The 21,844-nt window shown below is 40.6% G+C and overlaps 1 annotated feature.

Annotated features, from left to right (window-relative positions):
* Positions 2,598-2,697: a silencer, noted in NCBI's record as "silent region_20918". NCBI's record gives its function as "represses an Ori minimal core promoter by ATAC-STARR-seq in GM12878 lymphoblastoid cells {active_cell/tissue: GM12878}" and the evidence as "EXISTENCE:reporter gene assay evidence [ECO:0000049][PMID:35858748]".

Here is a 21,844-nt window from a genome sequence, read left to right on the forward strand (position 1 = left end):
GGTAATGGTTTTCTACGGTTACACATAAATATTAAAAATGCAGAAGGCAGCAGGAGTTGCTTCTGTTACTGGAAATCCAAATCCATTAAATTCATTCTCTAGGCTTTTAGGCACTTAGGGTTATGTTGAGTATTTGTGACACAATTCTTACAAAGGCATAAAGCATACCATTCTGTAAACAGGCAAAGACTGTTCAGACAAATATCTATGCCTAATGTGAGCCGATTCAATTGAAATGCTGTCCCCACATCACTCACTGGGTCAGAGGAAAATATCATGGCCAGAGATAACTTGGCACAGAACTGAATTTATCCAAGATGTATTATCTTTGAATACCCCATTGTGACCTGCCAGCTGGAGGTCACACAAGAAAATATGACAGCACTAAATATGGCAAACAAAAGTTCATTCTGTCCCATCAAACATTTTTCTAATGTGGTATTTAAAAGTTTTTTCAAATACGAACTTCCTTTATTTGTTTAAAAATGGAAAAATGTGCTTGTTTATCATATTCACCTCAGAAAGTCTATGTGGCACATCAGGGATGTGACGTAGAAAACTTTTAACTCCAGGAAAGCCAAACTCAAAAGCCTATGGGGTCAAGTTGATAATGTAGATAATACAAGCAGGGCTATACAAAAATAACAAGAACTTTTGCTAACACAAGTTAGTACCCTCTCTCCAGTTTTACGGAAATGAACAGTAGTCTTAGTCTTTTCTTCACCACTTTTCACAAATTTTATTTTTTAGCCGGGCACGATGGCATGTGCCTATTGTCCCATCTTACTTCAGGAGGCTGAAGTGGGAGAATTCCTTGATCCCAGGAGTTTGAGACTACCCTGGGCAACATAGTGAGACCCCGTCTCTAAAACAATAAATAAATAAAATTTTATTTTGAATAGAGAAGTAATAATTGTATTATTTATTAGGTACAATGTGATGCTTTGAGATACGTAGATAGATAGGTAGCTAGATAGATAGATACACACAGATTGTGGAATGATGAAATCAAATGAATTAACATAGCCATCACCTCACCTATTTATCGTTTATTTTTAGTCAGAATGTTTAAAATCTACTCTTTTAACAACAAATATTTTACTTTTTACTGTAAGAAAAACAACAGCAATAACAGTACAATAAAGACTAATATTCTGTGTATGTGTGGGGATAGGAAGTGACAGGAACCACAGTGACTGGGGATAAAGAAGCTGCTACTCAGCTCCAGCCAGTTGTTTCCTTAAGGGCATGCAGGAATCAGTAGCATTCAGTAGCATTTCTATATACTAATAACATCCAAACTGAGAGCCAAATCAAGAACACAATCCCATTCAGAATAGCCAAAAAAAGAACAAAATACCTAGAATAATACCTGAATAATATTCCATTGTATGGATGTACCACATTTCACTTGTACATTTATAAATTGACAGCCAAGGGGTGTGTGAACCAGCATGGGGTCCACCCACCGTGCAGTCCGATATGCTGGCTGCTGCAGCACAGCAGGAAACTCCAGGTTCCAGCATGGGTGCTGGCTCTCTGCAAGGCTGCAGCTGGACCAGGAACACTGCAAGCAGCCTCCACAACTGGCACTTGGGAACACGGTGGCATCCAGAAGCTTGTAGATACCAGGAACTACAGGGCCCAAAGAGGGAGTCATAGCCCTGCCTTGGGGAACTCCCAGGTCTGGGCTTCCAGAAGAGCCACAGGTGTTCTTTCCTTCTTTTGGGCCACAACGTGTTGAGCAAGGGATATAATATGTTTTGGCTGTGTTCCCACCCAAATCTCATCTTCAGTCCCCATGTGTTGTGGGAGGGACCCGGTGGGAGGTAATTGAATCATGAGGACAGGTCTATCCCATGCTGTTCTCACAATAGTGAATAAGCCTCATGAGATCAAATGGTTTTAAAAATGGGAGTTTCCCCACACAGGCTCTCTCTTTGCCTGCCACCGTCCATGTAAGACATGACTTGCTCCTCCTTGCCTTCCACCATGATTGTGAGGCCTCCCCAGCCATGGGGAACTATAAAACCTCTTTTTCTTCCCAGTCTCAGGCATGTCTTTATCACCAGCATGAAATGGACTGATACAGAGCATGTCTGAGCCCTGTTTGTGTTACAGCTCTGTTAGCCTCATTTGGCAGGTCCTGAGTTCTTATCTTGTGCCCAGGAAGAATGAGATATGCAGGCAAGTGGAGGGTGAGCAAGATGAAGAGGAGCTTTATTGAGCAATAGGACAGCTCAGAGGAAATCCACAGGGGACAGCTCCTTTCCACAGGCAGGATGTTCCAATGAGTGTTCATCTCCTAGCAGAGAGGATAGCTCCTCTCTGCTAGGCAAGTTCTGCTAGAACACTTGCCTGACAAGTGTTCAGCTATCAACAGAGAGTGTAGCTCCTCTCTGTACCTGATTGTCCTGTTGTCTGTGCAGCTCTCAGCAGACAGGAGGCCCTAGAGTGGGTGGCTCATCTCTGCAGGCAGGTCATCCTGTCGTCTCTGCAGCTCTCAGCAGAGAGGAGGCCTTAGAATGGCTTTTTCCTCTCTGCAGCTGTTCAGCCTGATGACTGCTCAGCTCTGGCTGAGCCCGAGCCTTTTATGGGACTCAGAGGGGAGGAAGTGTGAGCTGATTGGTCCATGGGCAGCCATGGGCAGGCCCAGAAAAGGCACCACAAGTTCCCACTCTGGTCAATGGGACTGGCAGCTCAACCCCCAGCCTTCTGGCCCTCCCTGGCCTGAAGGTGGGGCCTCACCAGGGACCCACCCCCTTCTGCCTAGAAACCTGTCTGCCTCCTGCTGCCAATCACAGCGCCCAGACTGTAGGTGCTAAGAGGAGCCTGCAGGCCAGCCTCAGCTGCCCTCAGCCTCCCCTCGGCTTCCTGTCAGTGCCCAAAGAACGGAAAGGGCCAGGGCGGCAAGGGGCTTTCATGTCAGCACTACACAGAGCCTGTGCAAACCCGGCCGGGCTGCAACAGTGCCTGGGCTTGGCTCCAACTTTGCTCTAAGATTGGAGTGGGCACAAACAGCAGGGAGAAACCAGGCAGCTGGAGCAGGCACTGCGATGGCATGGAGGGCCTTCTTGGGCCCCCGAGTGCAGAGATGCCTGCGTCCACAGCTGTGTGGGGTGGGGGCGGGGCTCTTGCCTGCTCCCTGGAGTGGGAGGCCCAGGTCTGCAGCTGTGGTTTGGGTGGCTGCAGCTGTGCTCTGGAGGGGGGGCTCCCGCCTGCTCCCACGCCCAAGAGCACAGGGATGTCTAGGTTCACAGCCATGGCTTGGGTGGCTGCAGGGGCACACAGGGAGTTCCCACCAGAACTTCGAAGGGGCCGGGCTCCCACTTGTCCCCGCTTCCACTGGCTCCATGGAGGGTGCAGCCCTGGCCACATCTCCCTGCTGCAGCCAGCATGATGGCAGCGGCCACTCCAGACAACCTGCCGCTGCCATCAATACAACAACAAAAATCACCTAACCATGCCTTTCTCAGAAGGTATCGCCATTGTTAAGTGACACATGATTGTATATATTTAAACACAATCTGTATTGCAAAATTTAAGAGTACAATGTATATAAAAAGCTGGAAGAAAATAGTTGCAACCTGTATTGCAGATATATGGTTAATATCCTTGATACCTTAACCAACAGAGAAATGAGCCAAAGATTACAACAGAGAAAGTACATGAAAGTAACATAGATACCCAGTGAACATTTGAAAATATGCCCAACGATATAAGTGACGAAATGTGAAACAAGCTCTCATACTACATGAAAGAGATAAATATAAACACAGTATGTAGAGAACAATCACAAGTTTATAAAAGAGTATACTTTTACATTTGGATAAATATCTGTGCATTTTATTAAGACATATACAAAAATCACAGAATATACATCAAATTATTAATAATGAATATCTTCTGGTTGGGGTGGGAGTGCAGACTGTACAGTTAATATACTGATGTATTAATTTGGGAAAATGAATAAACCTCAAAATGCTACTTTCCATGCTGGTTATGAAACCTCCTTTTTGATAAATAATAATTATCCTTACCTTGAAATAGCCATTTACTTCTTTCTTTCTTATTTTAGAATATATAATTCATACTAAGAGTTACTCTATTTAAGTGGCTATGACTCTGTGCTGAGAGAACTGATGGACAAAACTGCCTAGGGTCAGAGTAAAGAGGTCACAATGTGCACAGATGTAATGCTCCTAGGGCAGTGACCAGGACTTCACAAATAAACAATGGGTGCCAGTACTGTCACCTCCCTGAAGGTAGAAGAGACCATTCAGCTGGGCAGTGATAAATCCAGCCTGGATGCCACACCGCCCCTTCCCAGGAGAGCATCCATAAAGTGTCTGCTCATATTAGGACACCAGAGGGAGGGCTCTGCATTGGACACAACATATTTGTACTATAATTTATAGACATAATTAATATACCTGACATATAAGGAAATCTAACTAGCTAAAAGAGTTGTGTACATGTCTACCAACAGGTAATTTAAAGAAAAAAATGAATGGCAATGGCAATCAACATATTTAAAATTTCTTAACCCCACCAAAAATTAAATCTAATAAAAAGCTCTGAGATATATAAATATATAAGCAAGATATAGAACATAATATGCAACATGATCTGATTTTTGAAGAATATATATTTCCATAAGGATATACACATGTCATATTTTAAAATATAAATGAGCCCACAGAAACAAATCTGGATAATATTTACAAACTGATTGAGTGATTATCTTGAGAAAGGACATAGTAATAGGGGAAACACAAGATAATGCCTCTTATAATTGTATATTTCTCCAGTGTTTTCAAGAGCTGGGAAACACAGCACACTGATTTTTAATTAGCAGAATAACCAAGATACAATTATGACAGCATAGAATAAACCTAGTTGTGGTTTGATTTACAAAACTAATGCTGAAAAATATATTTCTGGACATTAAAAGATGTTAAATATCCTGTAACATAAAAAGGAGGTCACATACCACATTATATTTATAACCACACACATACAAATTCAATCAACTGGGTTTAATTTGAGAGAGGGGTCAAAGGAAACATCCTGTCACATGAATTAATACCCACGGGCTCTGTCTCCATCTCTGCTTAGTGCTTTGTCTGCCATATAACTTCCAGAAAGTTTATTCTGGTGGGCTTACACAGCCCTCCTTTCCCTCCTTCCCTCCTTCCTAGATCCCTTGCTAAAGTGATATCCAAGCTGCAGTTCTGGATTGGGTCAACAGATGGCATTGACTGATCTTCAATTTCATTTTTCAATAAAAAAATAACTCATTTCACAAAATGAACAAATTGTACTTTGAATGGAGATTTTGAAAAAGTATGGAAATAAAATCAAAATTCGTTCCTTAACTCAGCAATTAACACTTTTCATTTACTACTTTAAATTTTGTAGAATATGGTTCTCAAACTTCAGCTTGCATCAGAATAACTTGGGGAGCTTGTGACAAACTGGGGAGTACATGTACCCCATAAATTTGTACAAACAACAAAGAAAGAAAAGATTGCTAGAACCAACCACAAGAGTTTCTGATTCAGTAGGTCTAGGGTGGAGCCTATGAATTAGCACTTTCTAGCAAGTTCCCAGGTGATACTGACACTGCTAACAAACACAAACAAAACAAAACAGCGCCTTACCCTTTATAGAATACCTGGAGAATCACACTGTGCTGAGAATGCTGGGATCAAGGAAATGAGGTTATAGTGTGCAGTGGGGCCACAGACTCAAGCAGTGGATGCCACAACGTTGCTCTCTAAAGCATGAAGGGACCAGTCACTAATCAATACAACAGCATAGAGCCCGTATGTGGACAATGTGGTGATTTCATCACATCTCCCACCCTGGGGAGCCCTGTGGGTGAAGAATTAAGCTCCAGGCTCCCTGAGGCTCAGGGATCTGAAGTAACTGCCCAGATCTCACCTGGCCAAGCCCTGTTCCTTCCACTGCATCTCCAGACCTGGTGTTGTTTATTAGTTATAAATAAAGTACATTTTTTAGGCCCTGCTTATTCTTATAAAGGTAATCCACACTCATTTTGGACCATGTGGAAAATACTGTCAAATACAGACAAGAAAATATATCCAGCACTCCTGCCCCTTCGTGGTAAACACAATTAATGTTTTGGTGTATTTTGTTATAGTATTTGTTCTCTACTTTGATATATGCCCACAAAGATAGATACTAGCATTTCTGGAGAAGAGGCTTCTGTTTGGGGGCAAGTGACAGCATTGCTATCGGGACACAGTTCCTTTGACTGCAGCCTTCTGTACAGCAGTTCTGTTATAAGGATTGGTTCCTCTTACTGTCTCTTCATTCCAAGACTCAAAGGAAATCTCTTCATCTTGCACCTCTTAAGAGTCTTTCTTCCCTTACAACATAAAAGACAAAGTACTAAGGACAGGAAAGCATGTATGGTGGTAGGAAATGGCATGAGGATTTTTTTGTTCCCTTCCAAAGTCCCTCAGGTAACTCATCCTACAATACTGGACAGTCACCATGGCTAATACATCAAAAAACTCTGCACACATTTCCCTCCATACACTTAGGATCCCAACTGTTCTCTCTTAGAGTTATGAATTTAGTTTCTATCACAGACATCTCTTCTGCAGAGAAGGCAAGGTGAGGCTAAGATAGTAACCACTAAAGCCTCCCATGGATTTCTCATTTCCTTAAAACATCATTATTTTCATTTTACTGATGATCAGCTCCAGGCTTGCCAAGGATAAACCACATATCCTGATAAGCGGCAACAATGAAAATCAGCCACTGGATCTGCCCAGAGTACACCCAGCAGCTTCTATTGTAGATGTGGGCTTCCAGGGGTAAGAAATGGTAGTTGTAAACTTTTCTGGTATTGTGCCTGAGCTTTGTCATGCCCATATGGTAACATACTAGACAACTCCCCTTAGTGATGATGTTTGTGGAGAGGAAATCCTGTCCTAGGATAGGAGGCATGTTGATTGGCAGTTCCTGAAGTGGCGAATAATTCAGATGAAAGTACAGGTTTTAGACCTTGGGAATGTGACATGGAGGAAGGATATTCTTGTTTATCAAAGCTTGAGTTATGTCTAAGGAATTTTATATTGTATCTTTTCTAAATATGATAATAAATTCAAGGTAGGTAATAAGGATCGCTTACGAGAAATGAGAAAAGCCAAGACTTAAGAGGCTAAGCAAGTTACCCTTAGTGCCAAGTCTGTAAAACACAGGCCAGGGACTTTAAAACCCAAGCCTTTCACTCTATGATGTCTTCCTGAGCTTTGAATGGCTTCTATCTAAAATCTTCTTATAAAGTGGCAATCTCTACACTCCTGTGATTCTTAAAAACTTTTATAATGACTGTATTGATTTCTTCATCATTAAAATCAATGAGATTTTAACATTTAAAATTGCATTAAAAATTGGAGGGGAAATTATCCACATATACCTCAGAAACCACTTTATATGCCAGGAACTCTCTTTAACCAGAAGAGAAACAAATGAAAATTTAAAATCTCATAGAAAATTAGAGGAATGCAATTAAACTTATGAGAAGATATCCAATAGCAATGAACACACAACTAAAAATTCAGGTAACCTTATTCTCAGCTAAGGAAGGTAAATTGCATGACAAAGTTTGCAGTCATCCCATTTTCATGAAGAATATGTGTATATACATGCTGTCTGTTCAGGCTGCTATAACAAAATGCCACAGACTGGGTGACTTAAATGACAGACATTTATTTCTGATAGTTCTGGAGGCTGGGAAGTCCAAGACCAAGTGTCAGTAGAGTCAGCGTCTGGTGATGGCTCTCTTCATGGCTTGTAGACAGCCACTTTCTTGCTGTTTGCTCACATGACCCTTGGTGCATACTTGTGAAGAGAGAGATCTGTCTCTCTCTTCCTCTGCTTATAAGGGCATCAATCCCATTATGAGGGTCCCACTCTCGTGGTGGTCTAATCTAAACTTAATTAAACCCCAAAGGCCCCACCTCCAAATACTATCACCTTGGAAGCTAGGGCTTCAATGTGTAAATTTGGGAGGATAGAAACATTCATCTCATAACACATGTTCATACACATTGTACATCTTTATGTATTTTGTACATATATATTTCCATATATATTCTCATGAACATTTTCTTTCTATGGAGAAAAAAAATCATCTGTTGAATATGCTCCACACCATTAACAAAGGATACCTCAGCAGAGTGAAGGAGGTAGATACAGGATCATTTCATTTTCCACATAAGCATGTCTTTTGCTCAGCTTCTATCAATTACAAACATATATTAGTTTTGTGATTTAAGAAAGTAATTGTGATAAATTTGTGAAAAAAATAAAAACGTTATAATAATCTAATCTCAGTAATTTATTTTGTGTAAGTCTACTGGACTGGAAAGCAATTTGCACTAAGTAATATAAATAATGTAGTATAAAAAACAAGGAGATCCTGCCATTTGCCACAACATGGATGGATCTGGAGATCATTATACTAAATGAAATAAGCCAGACACAGAAAGACAAATATTGCACATTCCCACTTATGTGTCAAATATTTTTAAAAGGTCAAATATATATAGAGAGACAAGACAATAGTGATTACAAGGGTTAGGGTGGGAGAAGGAAATGGGGAGATGTATACATCAAAGATACAAAGCGCAAACATGTAGGATGAACAAAACAAAAGATCTAACATACAATATGAGGACTATAGTAAATAATAGTATATTGCATTCGAAATTTTTGCTAAATGTGTAGATTACAGCTGTTCTTGCCACAAGGAGGAAAATAGGAAACTCTGTGAGATGATGGATATGTTAATCTGTTCCACTACAGTAACCATTTTACTATATATATGTATGTATCTTATAACATCATGTTGTACATCTTACAATTTACAGTATAATTAATTTTTCAAAAGGAATTCATACTTAATTGTGAGATTTCTTTTAAAGAGGAAATTTCACATTGTATTTACAATATGATTGGTCCCCCTTATTGTTAATACTCCCGTGTGAATAAGTACATGTTATAAATCAAATGTGTTTAAAAGGATATAACCCAAAATACAAAATATCGACACACGCACACACATGCACTGATATACCGTTTCTCAGAGACACACTGATGGCTTTCTCTTTATTTGAGACAGGGGTGGAACTTCCTGCCAGGATCTCAGAGAGCCAGGCAGCAATAGATTAAGCAGGAAGGGCTGCCTGTGCCATTCAAGCCTCCAGCATGCCCTGTTTGGTGGGTCAGGCCAGAGGCCCCTTGCTCTCCAAATCCTTAGAGAGCCTCCTCCCTGACATTCGGAGATGTAGTTCTGGCTTTGACCAGCAGGTGGCGATTATCTCTATAGTCCACCTCTGCTGCAATGGAAAAGTAACAATTTTTGCAAAGAGAGAAAAAGACAATATAAAATGAATAGTACTAAATATATTAGAAAATTCATGTGCAGAGAAAAAAATTGAATGTGTATTGCTGTTTTATTTGTTGATAATGACTTCCAAAGCTGGGTCTCTCGCAATTATTCTTTCATTCTGTACATATTTTTGTGGGGGGGTGGGCACTGCCAACTCAAGTCCATTTGTCCATCCCACTCTTTTCTCTGAAGCCCAGACTCTCATTTTCAACTTACTGCAGGACATATTCATTTGGAGAAAGACGACTGAAATTTGTTTCTACATGTGTGGAGTGAGTGTGTGTTTCTCTAATGTTAAACTGAAGAGTAAATAGGCAGGATAACTCATTAAATAATAAAAAGAAATGGCACAAATATCTTTTCCTCTCCCAAACTCCAAAGGAAAGCATATGCTAAAAAAAACACCAAAGCTCACAAGTTACATAAATATGTTTACATTGCATGTTTTGTGCGTATATTTTCAAATAATCCTTAATTTATTCATGCCATTCATTTTACATCAAAATCCCCCCATTGAAGGAATGAAGAACTCTGGAACTAACATTTCCAATATCAGTTAAGGGAGTGGCATGTTCCAGACCCTTTCTTTTTATTGTTTTTAACTTTTATTTTTGGTTCAGGGGTACACGTGTAGGTTTCTTATACAGGTAAATTGCATGTCACTGTGGTTTGGTGTACAGATTATTTCATCATCCAGATAATAAGCATAGTACCCTGTATTAGTCCATCTTCACACTGCTATAAAGAACTTCTCTGAGACTGTGTAATTTATAAAGGAAAGAGGTTTAATTGACTCACAGTTACACATGGCTGGTGAAGAGGGCCTCAGGAAACTTAAAATCATGGTGGAAGGTGAAGGAGAAGCAAGTACCTTCGTCACAAGGTGGCAGGAAAAGAAAGAACGTGAAGAAGAAATTTCCAAACACTTATAAAACCATCAGATCTAGTGAGAACTCACTCACTATCATGAGAACAGCGTGGGGGAAACCACCCCCATGATCCAATCACCTCCCACCAGGTTCCTCCCCCAACACATGGGGATTACAATTCAAGATGAGATTTGGGTGGGGACACAGAGCCAAACCATATCATACCCGATAGGTAGTATTTTGATCCTCACCCTCTCCACACCCTGTGACCTCAAGTAGGACCTGGTGTCTGTTGTTCCTTTCTTTCTATCCGTATGTACTCGATGTATATAGATCCCATTTATAAGTGAGAACATGTGGTATTTGGTTTTCTGTTCCTGCATTAGTTTGCTTAGGATAATGAACTCCAGCCCCATCCATGTTGCTGCAAAATACATGATCTCATTCTTTATGGTTGTGTAGTATTCCATGGTGTATATGTACCACATTTTCTTTATCCAATCTACCATTGATGCGCATTTAAGTTGATTGCATGTCTTTGCTACTTTGAATAGTGCTTTGCGATTGTGAATATGTCTTTATGGTAAAACGATTTATAGTCCTTTGGGTATATACCCAATAATGGAATTGCTGGGTCAAATGCTCATTCCATTTTAAGTTCTTTGAGAAATCGCCAAGATTTCTACAGTGGCTGAATTAATTTACATTTCCACTAGCAGTGTTCGAGCTCATTTTTCTCTACAACCCTGCCAGTACTTGTTATTTTTTGACTTTTTAATAATAGTCGTTCTGACTGGTGTGTTATGGTATCTCATTGTGGTTTTGACTTGCATTTCTCTAATGATCAATGATGTTGAACTTTTTTTCATATGCTTGTTGAGTGTGGGTATGTCTTCTTTGGAAAAGTGCTTGTTCATTTTACTATATGTCCTTTGCCAATTTTTGAATGGGGTTATTTGGTTTTTGCTTGCTGATTTAAGTTCTTTATAGATTCTGCATATTAGTTCTTTATGAGATGCATAGTTTACAACTATTTTCTCCCATTCTGTGAGTTGTCTGTTTACTCTGTTGATAGTTTATTTTGCTGTGCAGAAGCTCTTTAATCAGGTCCCATTTGTCAGTGTTTGTTTTTGTTGAAATTGCTTTTGGCATCTTCATCATGATATATTTTCCAGGACCTATGTCCACATTGGTGTTTCCTAGGCCATCTTCCAGGGCTTTTATAGTTTTAGGTTTTACATTTAAGCCTTTAATCTATTTTGAGTTGATTTTTCTATATGGGGTAAAAGGAGGGTCCAGTTTCAGTCTTCTGTGTATGGCTAGCCAGTTATCTCAGCATCATTTATTTAATAGGGAGTTCTTTCCCTATTATTTGTTTTTGTCAATTTTGTTGAAGATCAGATGGTTGTTGGTGTGTGGCATTATTTCTGGGCTCTAGATTCTGTTCCGTTGGTCTATGTGTCTGTTTTTGTACTAGCACCATGCTGTTTCGGTTACTATAGTTTTGTAGTATAGTTTGAAGTCAGGTAATGTGATGTTTCCAGCTTTGTTATTTTTCCTGAGGATTGCCTTGGCTATTCAGGCTCTTTTATGGTTCTATTTGAATTTTAAAATAGTTTTTGTTTCTAATTCTGTGATGAACGGCATCAGTAGCTTGATAGGAATAGCATTGAACCTGCAAATTGCTTAGGGCAGTATGGACATTTTAACAATATTGATTCTTCCTCTCCATGAGCATGGAATGTTTTTCCACTTATTAGTGTCATCTCTGAATTATTTGAGGAGCATTTTGTAATTCTCATTATAAAGATGTTTCATCTACCTGGTTAGCTGTATTCTAGGTATTTTGTTCTTTTTTTGGCTATTCTGAATGGGATTGTGTTCTTGATTTGGCTCTCAGTTTGGATGTTATTAGTATATAGAAATGCTACTGAATGCTACTGATTCCTGCATGCCCTTAAGGAAACAACTGGCTGGAGCTGAGTAGCAGCTTCTTTATCCCCAGTCACTGTGGTTCCTGTCACTTCCTATCCCCACACATACACAGAATATTAGTCTTTATTGTACTGTTATTGCTGTTGTTTTTCTTACAGTAAAAAGTAAAATATTTGTTGTTAAAAGAGTAGATTTTAAACATTCTGACTAAAAATAAACGATAAATAGGTGAGGTGATGGCTATGTTAATTCATTTGATTTCATCATTCCACAATCTGTGTGTATCTATCTATCTAGCTACCTATCTATCTACGTATCTCAAAGCATCACATTGTACCTAATAAATAATACAATTATTACTTCTCTATTCAAAATAAAATTTTATTTATTTATTGTTTTAGAGACGGGGTCTCACTATGTTGCCCAGGGTAGTCTCAAACTCCTGGGATCAAGGAATTCTCCCACTTCAGCCTCCTGAAGTAAGATGGGACAATAGGCACATGCCATCGTGCCCGGCTAAAAAATAAAATTTGTGAAAAGTGGTGAAGAAAAGACTAAGACTACTGTTCATTTCCGTAAAACTGGAGAGAGGGTACTAACTTGTGTTAGCAAAAGTTCTTGTTATTTTTGTATAGCCCTGCTTGTATTATCTACATTATCAACTTGACCCCATAGGCTTTTGAGTTTGGCTTTCCTGGAGTTAAAAGTTTTCTACGTCACATCCCTGATGTGCCACATAGACTTTCTGAGGTGAATATGATAAACAAGCACATTTTTCCATTTTTAAACAAATAAAGGAAGTTCGTATTTGAAAAAACTTTTAAATACCACATTAGAAAAATGTTTGATGGGACAGAATGAACTTTTGTTTGCCATATTTAGTGCTGTCATATTTTCTTGTGTGACCTCCAGCTGGCAGGTCACAATGGGGTATTCAAAGATAATACATCTTGGATAAATTCAGTTCTGTGCCAAGTTATCTCTGGCCATGATATTTTCCTCTGACCCAGTGAGTGATGTGGGGACAGCATTTCAATTGAATCGGCTCACATTAGGCATAGATATTTGTCTGAACAGTCTTTGCCTGTTTACAGAATGGTATGCTTTATGCCTTTGTAAGAATTGTGTCACAAATACTCAACATAACCCTAAGTGCCTAAAAGCCTAGAGAATGAATTTAATGGATTTGGATTTCCAGTAACAGAAGCAACTCCTGCTGCCTTCTGCATTTTTAATATTTATGTGTAACCGTAGAAAACCATTACCTGGTAAATACCCTCTCTCAAAGGTTCAAGTATTTTATTTGTCCATATTCCCTGATGGTCTCTTTGCTCCCAGGCAGCCATTTGGTAATACCATAAAAACAGGTTTGTTTATTTATTTGTCTATTTGTTTTAATCAATTTTTCACAGGTAAAATCAGCTTTGTTTAAAAATGAACACACGGCCTGCAATTCCACTCCTAGGTCTTTACATAAGAGAATTGAAAACAGGTGTTCAAGCAAAAACTTGTACATGAATATTTACAGCAACATTATAAATAGTAGCCAAAAGATGGAAACAATCCAGTGCCCATCAATTGATAAATGTACAAGTGAATTGTGGTACATCTATACAATGGAATATTATTCAGCCATAAAAAATTACTGGCACGTACCTTAAAAACATTATGCTAACTAAAATAAGTCAGATGCAAAAGGTCACATACTGTATGATTCCATTTGTAAGACACATCCAGAATAAGCATAGCCATAGAGACAGAAAGGACATTAGCTGTTGTTTAGGGTTGATGACACCTACTGATAAACAAAGTTAAAAATTTAGAAACATTTTCTTTCCTTGCGTGTGTGTGTATATATACACACACGCACACACACACACACACACACACACACACACACAAAATGTATATGTTGATTTATAATTTATATAACTGAATTAATACCATAATATAGATAGAGGAAAAGGAAAATACAAAACAATTACTTGTTTTGGGCAGAAAATTTACATTAATTTTATAACCAGGTAAAGTAAACAAAATAATATTTTTGAAAACGCAGGATAAGCCTGTTTGTGAAGCAAACCAAAAAAATAACATGTTAGAAATGTGTTCCATTACTTGGAAAATATGCTGTTTTGTGAAAAAAGCATGTTGCAAAGAGATGTTATGATAAGATTACATTTTCCCTTGAAAATATATCTCTATATATTTATTATATGTTCATACCTGACACATACGTATGTGTGTATACACACACATGCAAATTTATTTCAGCTGAGAGTGTAGCTGAAGGGAACATGCTATGGTTTAAGACACTGTATGCTATGGAGGAAAGTCAATTCCAATAATTTGTTATAAGAGCTCACATATTTCGAATTAAGGCATTCTGGTAAGAACATGATTTATTTAAATTAATGTTTCACTTTTCTAAATATATAGATCTACACATGAAACCTTTTTTGCCTATGGTAACTAAGGAATTCATCCCTATTTGCATTCTCCATTTCGACTGAGGTAGACATCCCTCACTTTCACAATTAAATTGCATTCAACCTCTTCAGGCAAGAAAGTCAATGGCTCATTCTTTTCATAATTAAAGGCAGAGTACATGTTTTACTTCCAGTAATGGCAAAGTAAGTCACATTGAACCAAACCTCCCATAGCTAGCAATTATAAACCCTGGGAAACAACTTAAATAACTATCTAAAAGCACTTGAGGACACTAGAACTTATTCCTTATATCTAACTGTGTGTTTGTACCCTTTAACCAATGGTATTCCATTGTGCATATATGCCACATTTTGTTTATCCATTCGTCAGCTGATGGGCACTTAAGTTGATTCCCTATCTTGGCTATTGTGAATAGTGCTGCAATAAACATAGGGGTGCAGGTGTCCCTTTGATATACCAATTTCCTTTCCCTTGGATAAATGGCCAGTAGTGTGATTGCTGGATCATATGGTAGTTCTATGTTTCGTTGTTTGAGAAACCTCCATACTCTTCTGATAGCACAGTAGGCTGACTGTAGTTAACAATTTATTGTATATTTCAAAATAGCTAGAAGATTTGAAATACTCCCAACACAGAGAAATTATAAATGTTCAAGGCAATGGATATTTTAAATACCCTAATTAGATCATTACACATTATACGTACGTACCAAAATATCACATGTACCCCATAAATGTGTGCAATCATTATGTGTCAATAAAGCTTTTTTTAAAAACAATTTCCCATTAGTACCTATTTGTCTCCTTACAATATTTATGAGATTATCATAGTACATGTTTTTATACCATGGTTTGCTTAGAGTACTGTATGATGTATACATTTTGATGCCTTAATAATGACATTTCTGCGTTCTTGTTGCTTCATGCTAAGATTTAGTGGTGCTTATTTTCTGTAACTGTGTCACAGAATAATTAACATTTATTGTTCATTATTTTAAAGCACTTGAGAAAGATTGAAAGCAAGCAGAAGATTGGAGAGAAGTTGACATTTGGACGAGGAAATGTTTCTGGGCGCCTGCTTTTATGGCTTTTTGCCTGGTTACATGCGGAGTGGCTAAAACTCAGATAAATCTGTAGTCCCTGACCGGGGACCCATGCCTTTCTGCCCAGGAACCTGTCTGCCTCCTGCTGCCGTTCATGTTGCCCAGGCTGTAGGTGCCAAGGGGCACCCTGCGGGCCAGCACTGAGCTGCCCTCAGCCACCCCTTGACTTCCCTCCTATGCTCGTCGGTGCCCAAAGTCTGGGCTGCCAGTCCCATGGACCAGAGCGGGACCAGACTTGGGCTGGGGTCGGGCTGCCAGTCCTTCGGACTGGAGTGGGAACTTGTGGTGCCCTTTCTGGGCCCGCCCATGGCCACCCATGGAGCAATTGGCATGCACTTCCTCCCCTCCGAGGCCCATAAAAGCCCTGGGATAAGCCAGAGCTGAGCAGACGTTGGGACGACCAGCTGCGGAGAGGAGCAACCCACTCTAGGGCCTCCTCTCTGCTGAGAGCTGCAGAGATGATGAAGAGACAATGGGGAGATGATGGGATGACCTGCCTGCAGAGAGGAGCCACCCACTCTCTAGGGCCTCCTCTCTGCTGAGAGCTGTGCAGATGATGGGATGACCAGCTGCAGAGAGGAGCTACCCTCTCTGCTGATAGCTGAACACTTGTCGGGTTGACTTGCCTAGCAGAGAGAAGCTACCCTCCATGCTAGCAGCTGAACAGTCATTGAGACACCCTGGGTGCAGAAAGGAGCTGCCCCCTTCGGGTATCCTCTGAGCTGTTCTATTGCTCAATAACGCTCCTCTTCGTCTTGCCCACCCTCCACTTGTCTGCATACCTTATTCTTCCTGGGCACAGGATAAGAACTCAGGACCCACTGAATGAGGCTAAAGGATCTGTAACACAAACAGGGCTGAGGCATGCCCCTTGCTCATCATGTTGCAGGTGAAGAGAAGGAAAGAAGAGCTGCGGCCGTTTGGGAGCCCAGACTGAGGAGCTCACTGAGCCAGGGCTGTGACTCTGTCTTTGAGGCACTGCAGTTCCTGGCGTCTCCAAGCTTCAAGGCACCACAGCGTTCCCTGGTGCCAACTGTGGAAGCCGTGGCGCACCTGGTCAAGTGGCAGCCCAGTGGAGAGCTGGCACCCATGCTGGCACCTGGAGCTCCCCACCCGCTGCAGCAGCCGGCATTTCTGACTGTGCAGTGGTTGGACAACACACTTGCTCACACACCCCTCGCTGCTCCATGCAGTCTCCCATGGCAGGCGTGTGATCCAGGCCGGTAGCATGAGCTGAGCGCAGCCTGCCAGGTCGAGTGGGTGGAATGAGCCCAGTGGGCCCAAGAAAAACTCAAGCAAAGGTGCCACAGGCCACAGAGGTTTCCGGCCAGAAAAGTGACACCCCAAAGATCCCGTAAAAGTGTGAACATCATAGAGTGTACTTGCACAAAACTAGATGGTATAGCCTACTACACACCTAGGCTATATGCTATAGCGTATTCCTCCTAGGCTACAAACCTGTACAGCATGTTACTGTACTGAATACTTTAAGCAATGGTAACACAATGCTAAGTATTTGTGTATCTAAACATAGAAGAGGTTCAATAAAAATATGGTATAAAAGATACAAAATAGTCACCTGTATAGGGCAGCTCTATGATAATCTGATAGAACTACTGTCATATATGTGGTCCATCGTTAACTGAAACATTGTGGAGAGAGAGAGAGAGAGAGGAGAGAGAGAGAGGAGAGAGAGAGAGAGAGAGAGAGAGAGGAGAGAGAAGAGAGAGGGGGGAGAGAGAGAGAGAGAGAGAGAGAGAGAGAGAGAGAGAGAGAGAGAGAGAGAGAGAGAAGCAGTAATGCTCATTGTTAACAAGAAACCCCAAACAACACACTTAGGTTCACTGATTGTCTTCGCAGATAACGGAGCAGAAAAATAATGGTGCTCTGTGTAATTATAGGTTTTGAGTTCCTGGACATTAATTTACAAGTTTATTTCTCTAGGGAAAGTTGCTTAACTTCCCATAACCCCTGTACCCTGATCTGAATAATATCAACAATGAACAGTAACTTGAATAGCTGTAAGAATTCAATTAGATAAATTACCTGTGGATTAAAATCCTTGCGCAAACGTCAGTAATCTTTTTCAGGCCACCTTCCAGAGAGAGCAACAACTCCGTTTTCATGTAAGCCTTGCTTAACACCTCAGGGACCAGCTCAACCATGTGGCTCCTACACCCAGGTTTCTGGCACAAGGTTTTTATTCCTATACTGAATATCATGTTGAGGGAGTACCCATGTGGATACAATTCTAGGACAGCTTAAAACAATCACTCCTTAAGCTTTGGAAGCCCATCATCTGAAAGGGAGGCTAACGGGGGTATTGTGAGGCGGGCAAGAGAGAGAAGCCCATTCCTGCTCATGACTTGATGTGTGACCCTGAAAAAGTATAGTGTTCTGTGGGTCTATCCTTGATCATCTGTAAAACGGGAATGTTACCTTCCTCAGAGAGCTCTGGTGGGGAAAAAAGGAGAAACCCTATAGAAATGCCTGGCACATTGTAAGACTTGGAAAAACATTAATACTGCCCATTTCACTTCCTCCCATAAGAGAGATGTCTTTCAAATAAACTATAGAGCGTATCTATCTTAGAGAACACCTGGAAATAATAGCCAGAAAAGAGAAATATACAGATATTTACCTAATGTATGAGTTTTGGGTGTCATTTCCGTGTCTTGGGAAAAGCAAGGAATTTTAAGAAGGAGAAGAAAATAATTTGCTTTTATTTCAGGTGATTTCCAATCTTCTTATTTCCTTTCTAGTTTGATACCAGAGGAGCATTTCCCACCAAGTCTTTAAAAAAGAGCATAAATGAGAATAAAGCAATATTGGCACCCATGGTGAACCAGAGGACCTTGGGTGAGTCCCTCGTCCTGTGCTGGCCTCAGCTCTAACGGAGAAGAAGACGCAATACAGAAACAGTGGTTGTGGGCGTGGAGTTTGTAGAGTGAGATACATGTGGATTTGTCCTTTAGTTGAGAGGCACTTAATCTCGAGGAAGCAATTTCTCTCTCCGGAGTTCACCTTTCTTCTTGGGCTATATGGGAATTGGGATGGTACTTGCCCCTTAAAGATGACATGAGGAGTAAATGGATCACTGCATTGAAAGCAAGCAGAGCAATGATATATTAGTCCATTTTCACATTGCTATAAAGAACTACGCGAGACTGGGCAATTTATAAAGAAAAGAGGTTTAATCGACTCACAGTTCTGTAGGCTGTACGGGATGCACGGCTGGGGAGGCCTCAGAAAACTTACAATTATAGCAGAAGGCAAAGGGGAAGTAAGGCACAACTTACATAGTGGCAGGAGGGAGACAGAGAGAGAGAGAGAGAGAGAGAGAGAGAGAGAGAGAGAGAGAGAGAGGAAAGTGCCACACTTTTAAACCATCAGATCTTATGAGAACTCACTATCACAAGAACAGCAAGGGGGAAATCTGCTACCTTGATTCAATCACCTCCCACCAGGCCCCTTCCCTGAAACTTGGGGATTATAATTTAACATGAGATTTGTGTGGGGGGACACAGAGACAAACCATATCAAATGCCCAGCATCTTCTAGTGATGAATATGCATTTGCATCATTCATCGTATTTATCGTTACTCCTCCCAACCATCCAAAAGGAGAGTCGTGTGAATGGGGTTTGCATTGCCAGGCAATGTAATTGTTCTGTGGTGCTGCACCTTCATCTTTGTTGGGAACAAACTGGTTGACATACAGTTTAAAGGGGGACTGTAAAAAGCTCGGGAGCAGTCTCAGATATGTAACATTATTTAGTATAAGACATATTTGGCATTTCCAATCCGTGCATTCAGATGCATGGTTCTAGAAATGAGACAGGTGCATGTATATACGGTTTGATAGAAATTGAAGTTCAATACTTTCCCCATAGCAAATTATTTAATATTAATTAAAACATCAACAAAACAATACAGCATAAAACTGCGTATATATCACAGTTCTATGAAATGTCAATGCAGTACATTTGCACGTGGGCAAGCAAACAAAAAATAAGGGAATGAAGTTCAGGAAAATGTTAACAGTTCTTTTTCCAGCGATGATGGGATCGTTGGTTATTGATATTTTCATCTCTATAATTAACTGTATTTTAATCATTTGGTAAAATGAGTATATGTTTATGGTAGAATAAACCTTCAGCTTCTAAAATTTTTGTTACTAATCCAACATATCAAATATGCAAAATGTTATAGAGAGCTATAAAATGAACACTTGTGTATCCACTAACCAGGTTAAGCAATAAACTTGACGAATGTTTGAGCCCATCCCCTCATTTCACTTGTCCTTCCTTTACTCCTCAGATGTAACTCATAACCAGAACGTGGTGTTTATATTCCCCATAAATTGTTTCATAATTTTATCGTGAATAAAAGCATTCTTAAAGTATTATATATATGTTGTATGCATATATTTTCATACTGTAGGTGTCTTTATTCTCCTTATAATCATGATCTGAAATTTCGTTTTTCATACGAATATATGGTCTGATTCTTATAGGTCTAGGGTATTTATTTTCATGGTTATAGAATATTCCAATATAAGAATGAGCCACAATGTATTTTTTTGGACTAATGGTAATGAACATTTTTGTTTTTCCTACAGCTTTGCTCTCACAGACAATGCTGAAGGTACCACGATTACAGATGAGGCCATGTACGGACATGCCAGATATTCTCTAGTTTCTTGCTACTCAAAGTGTGATCCATGAAATAGTAGCTTCAGCATTACCTGGTATATTAGGGATCCACCAAGAAACAGAACCAGCAAGGGGTGTGTGTGTGTGTGTGTGTGTGTGTCTCGTTTGTGTGTGTGTGTGTGTGCACTTTTTTAGAAATTGGCTCCCGTGAACCTGGAGCCTGGAAAGCATGCAGGGAAGGCTGGCAGGCTGGAGACCCAATGAAGAGCTGCAGTTCAAGTCTGAAGGCATTTTGCTGGCAGAATTCCCTCTTCCTCAAGGCAGGTAAATCTTTTTACTCCTGAAGGCCTTCAACTGATTGGATAAGGCCAACCCACATTGTGCAGGGTAATCTGCTTTACTCAAAGTCTACAGATCTAAATGGCAATCTCATCTAAAAATACCTTCACAGAAGGTATTTTTAGAATAATGGAAGGCATTTGGAATAATGTTGGACCAAATATCTAGGTTCGTGCTCTTGGATGTGGCCATTGAAGGGGAGAAGGGTTCATATCCAACCACTGGCTTTCTCCAGCACAGGGGTAACAGGAGGGTGGGATCATAAGGAGTGCTGCATGGAGGGGAATTCTGAGATCATTAATGGAATGATGCCATTAAGGCCTCATGAGCAGACAACTAGGATGAATGGAATCCATGTTTGCAAAGATCAGCAGCAGTTATGCAGTAGGGCTGAGGGCAGGAGCTATAGGCAGGAACCCTGGGGTAAGGGAATCAGTTGGAGGCAAGTTCTGGGACAAACTATTAGGAGTGCAGACTAATACACAGGAGCCAGAGGTATTCTGAGGGAAGGCACAAAATTTACTTGGAGATGAGGGATAGAAAAGGGCATCATCAAGGCCACTCACCCTGGTGTTCCTGCAGTTGCTTCTGGACTCCTTCCACATGGAGGTTCCTGTGCTCTGATGAAGACAGGGAGGGGTCCACCACCCGCCCACACCAGCAACCTTTGTAAGAAGTGCAACTTTGCTGGGTGACTGTAATCCCAGCTACTCTTGAGGCTGAGGCTGAAGGACTGCTTGAGCCCAGGAGTTTGCACCCAGGAGTTAAGAGTCCAGCCTGGGCAACATAATGAGACCCCAACTCTAAAAAAAAGTACACCCTGTTGGAGGTGTCTATAAACTTGATGCCATCATATGCAGTGGGCAGGAAAACAAGTGACATATGGGAAATAATGCCTCTTCTCAGGGATGAGCCCTTATGAATTCCACAGCCCCAGCCTCCCTGCCACCCTATCCCTAAGGAGAGTGTGCCAAGGCCCAAGGAAAAGAACAGAGCAGTTGTGGATGGACTCTCCTGGCTGTGGCTGCCGTATGCTCCTTTCTGTCCTAATCAAAGTTTCCCCT

Source organism: Homo sapiens, chromosome X (genome assembly GCF_000001405.40).
Source record: "Homo sapiens chromosome X, GRCh38.p14 Primary Assembly".
NCBI lineage: Eukaryota > Metazoa > Chordata > Mammalia > Primates > Hominidae > Homo > Homo sapiens.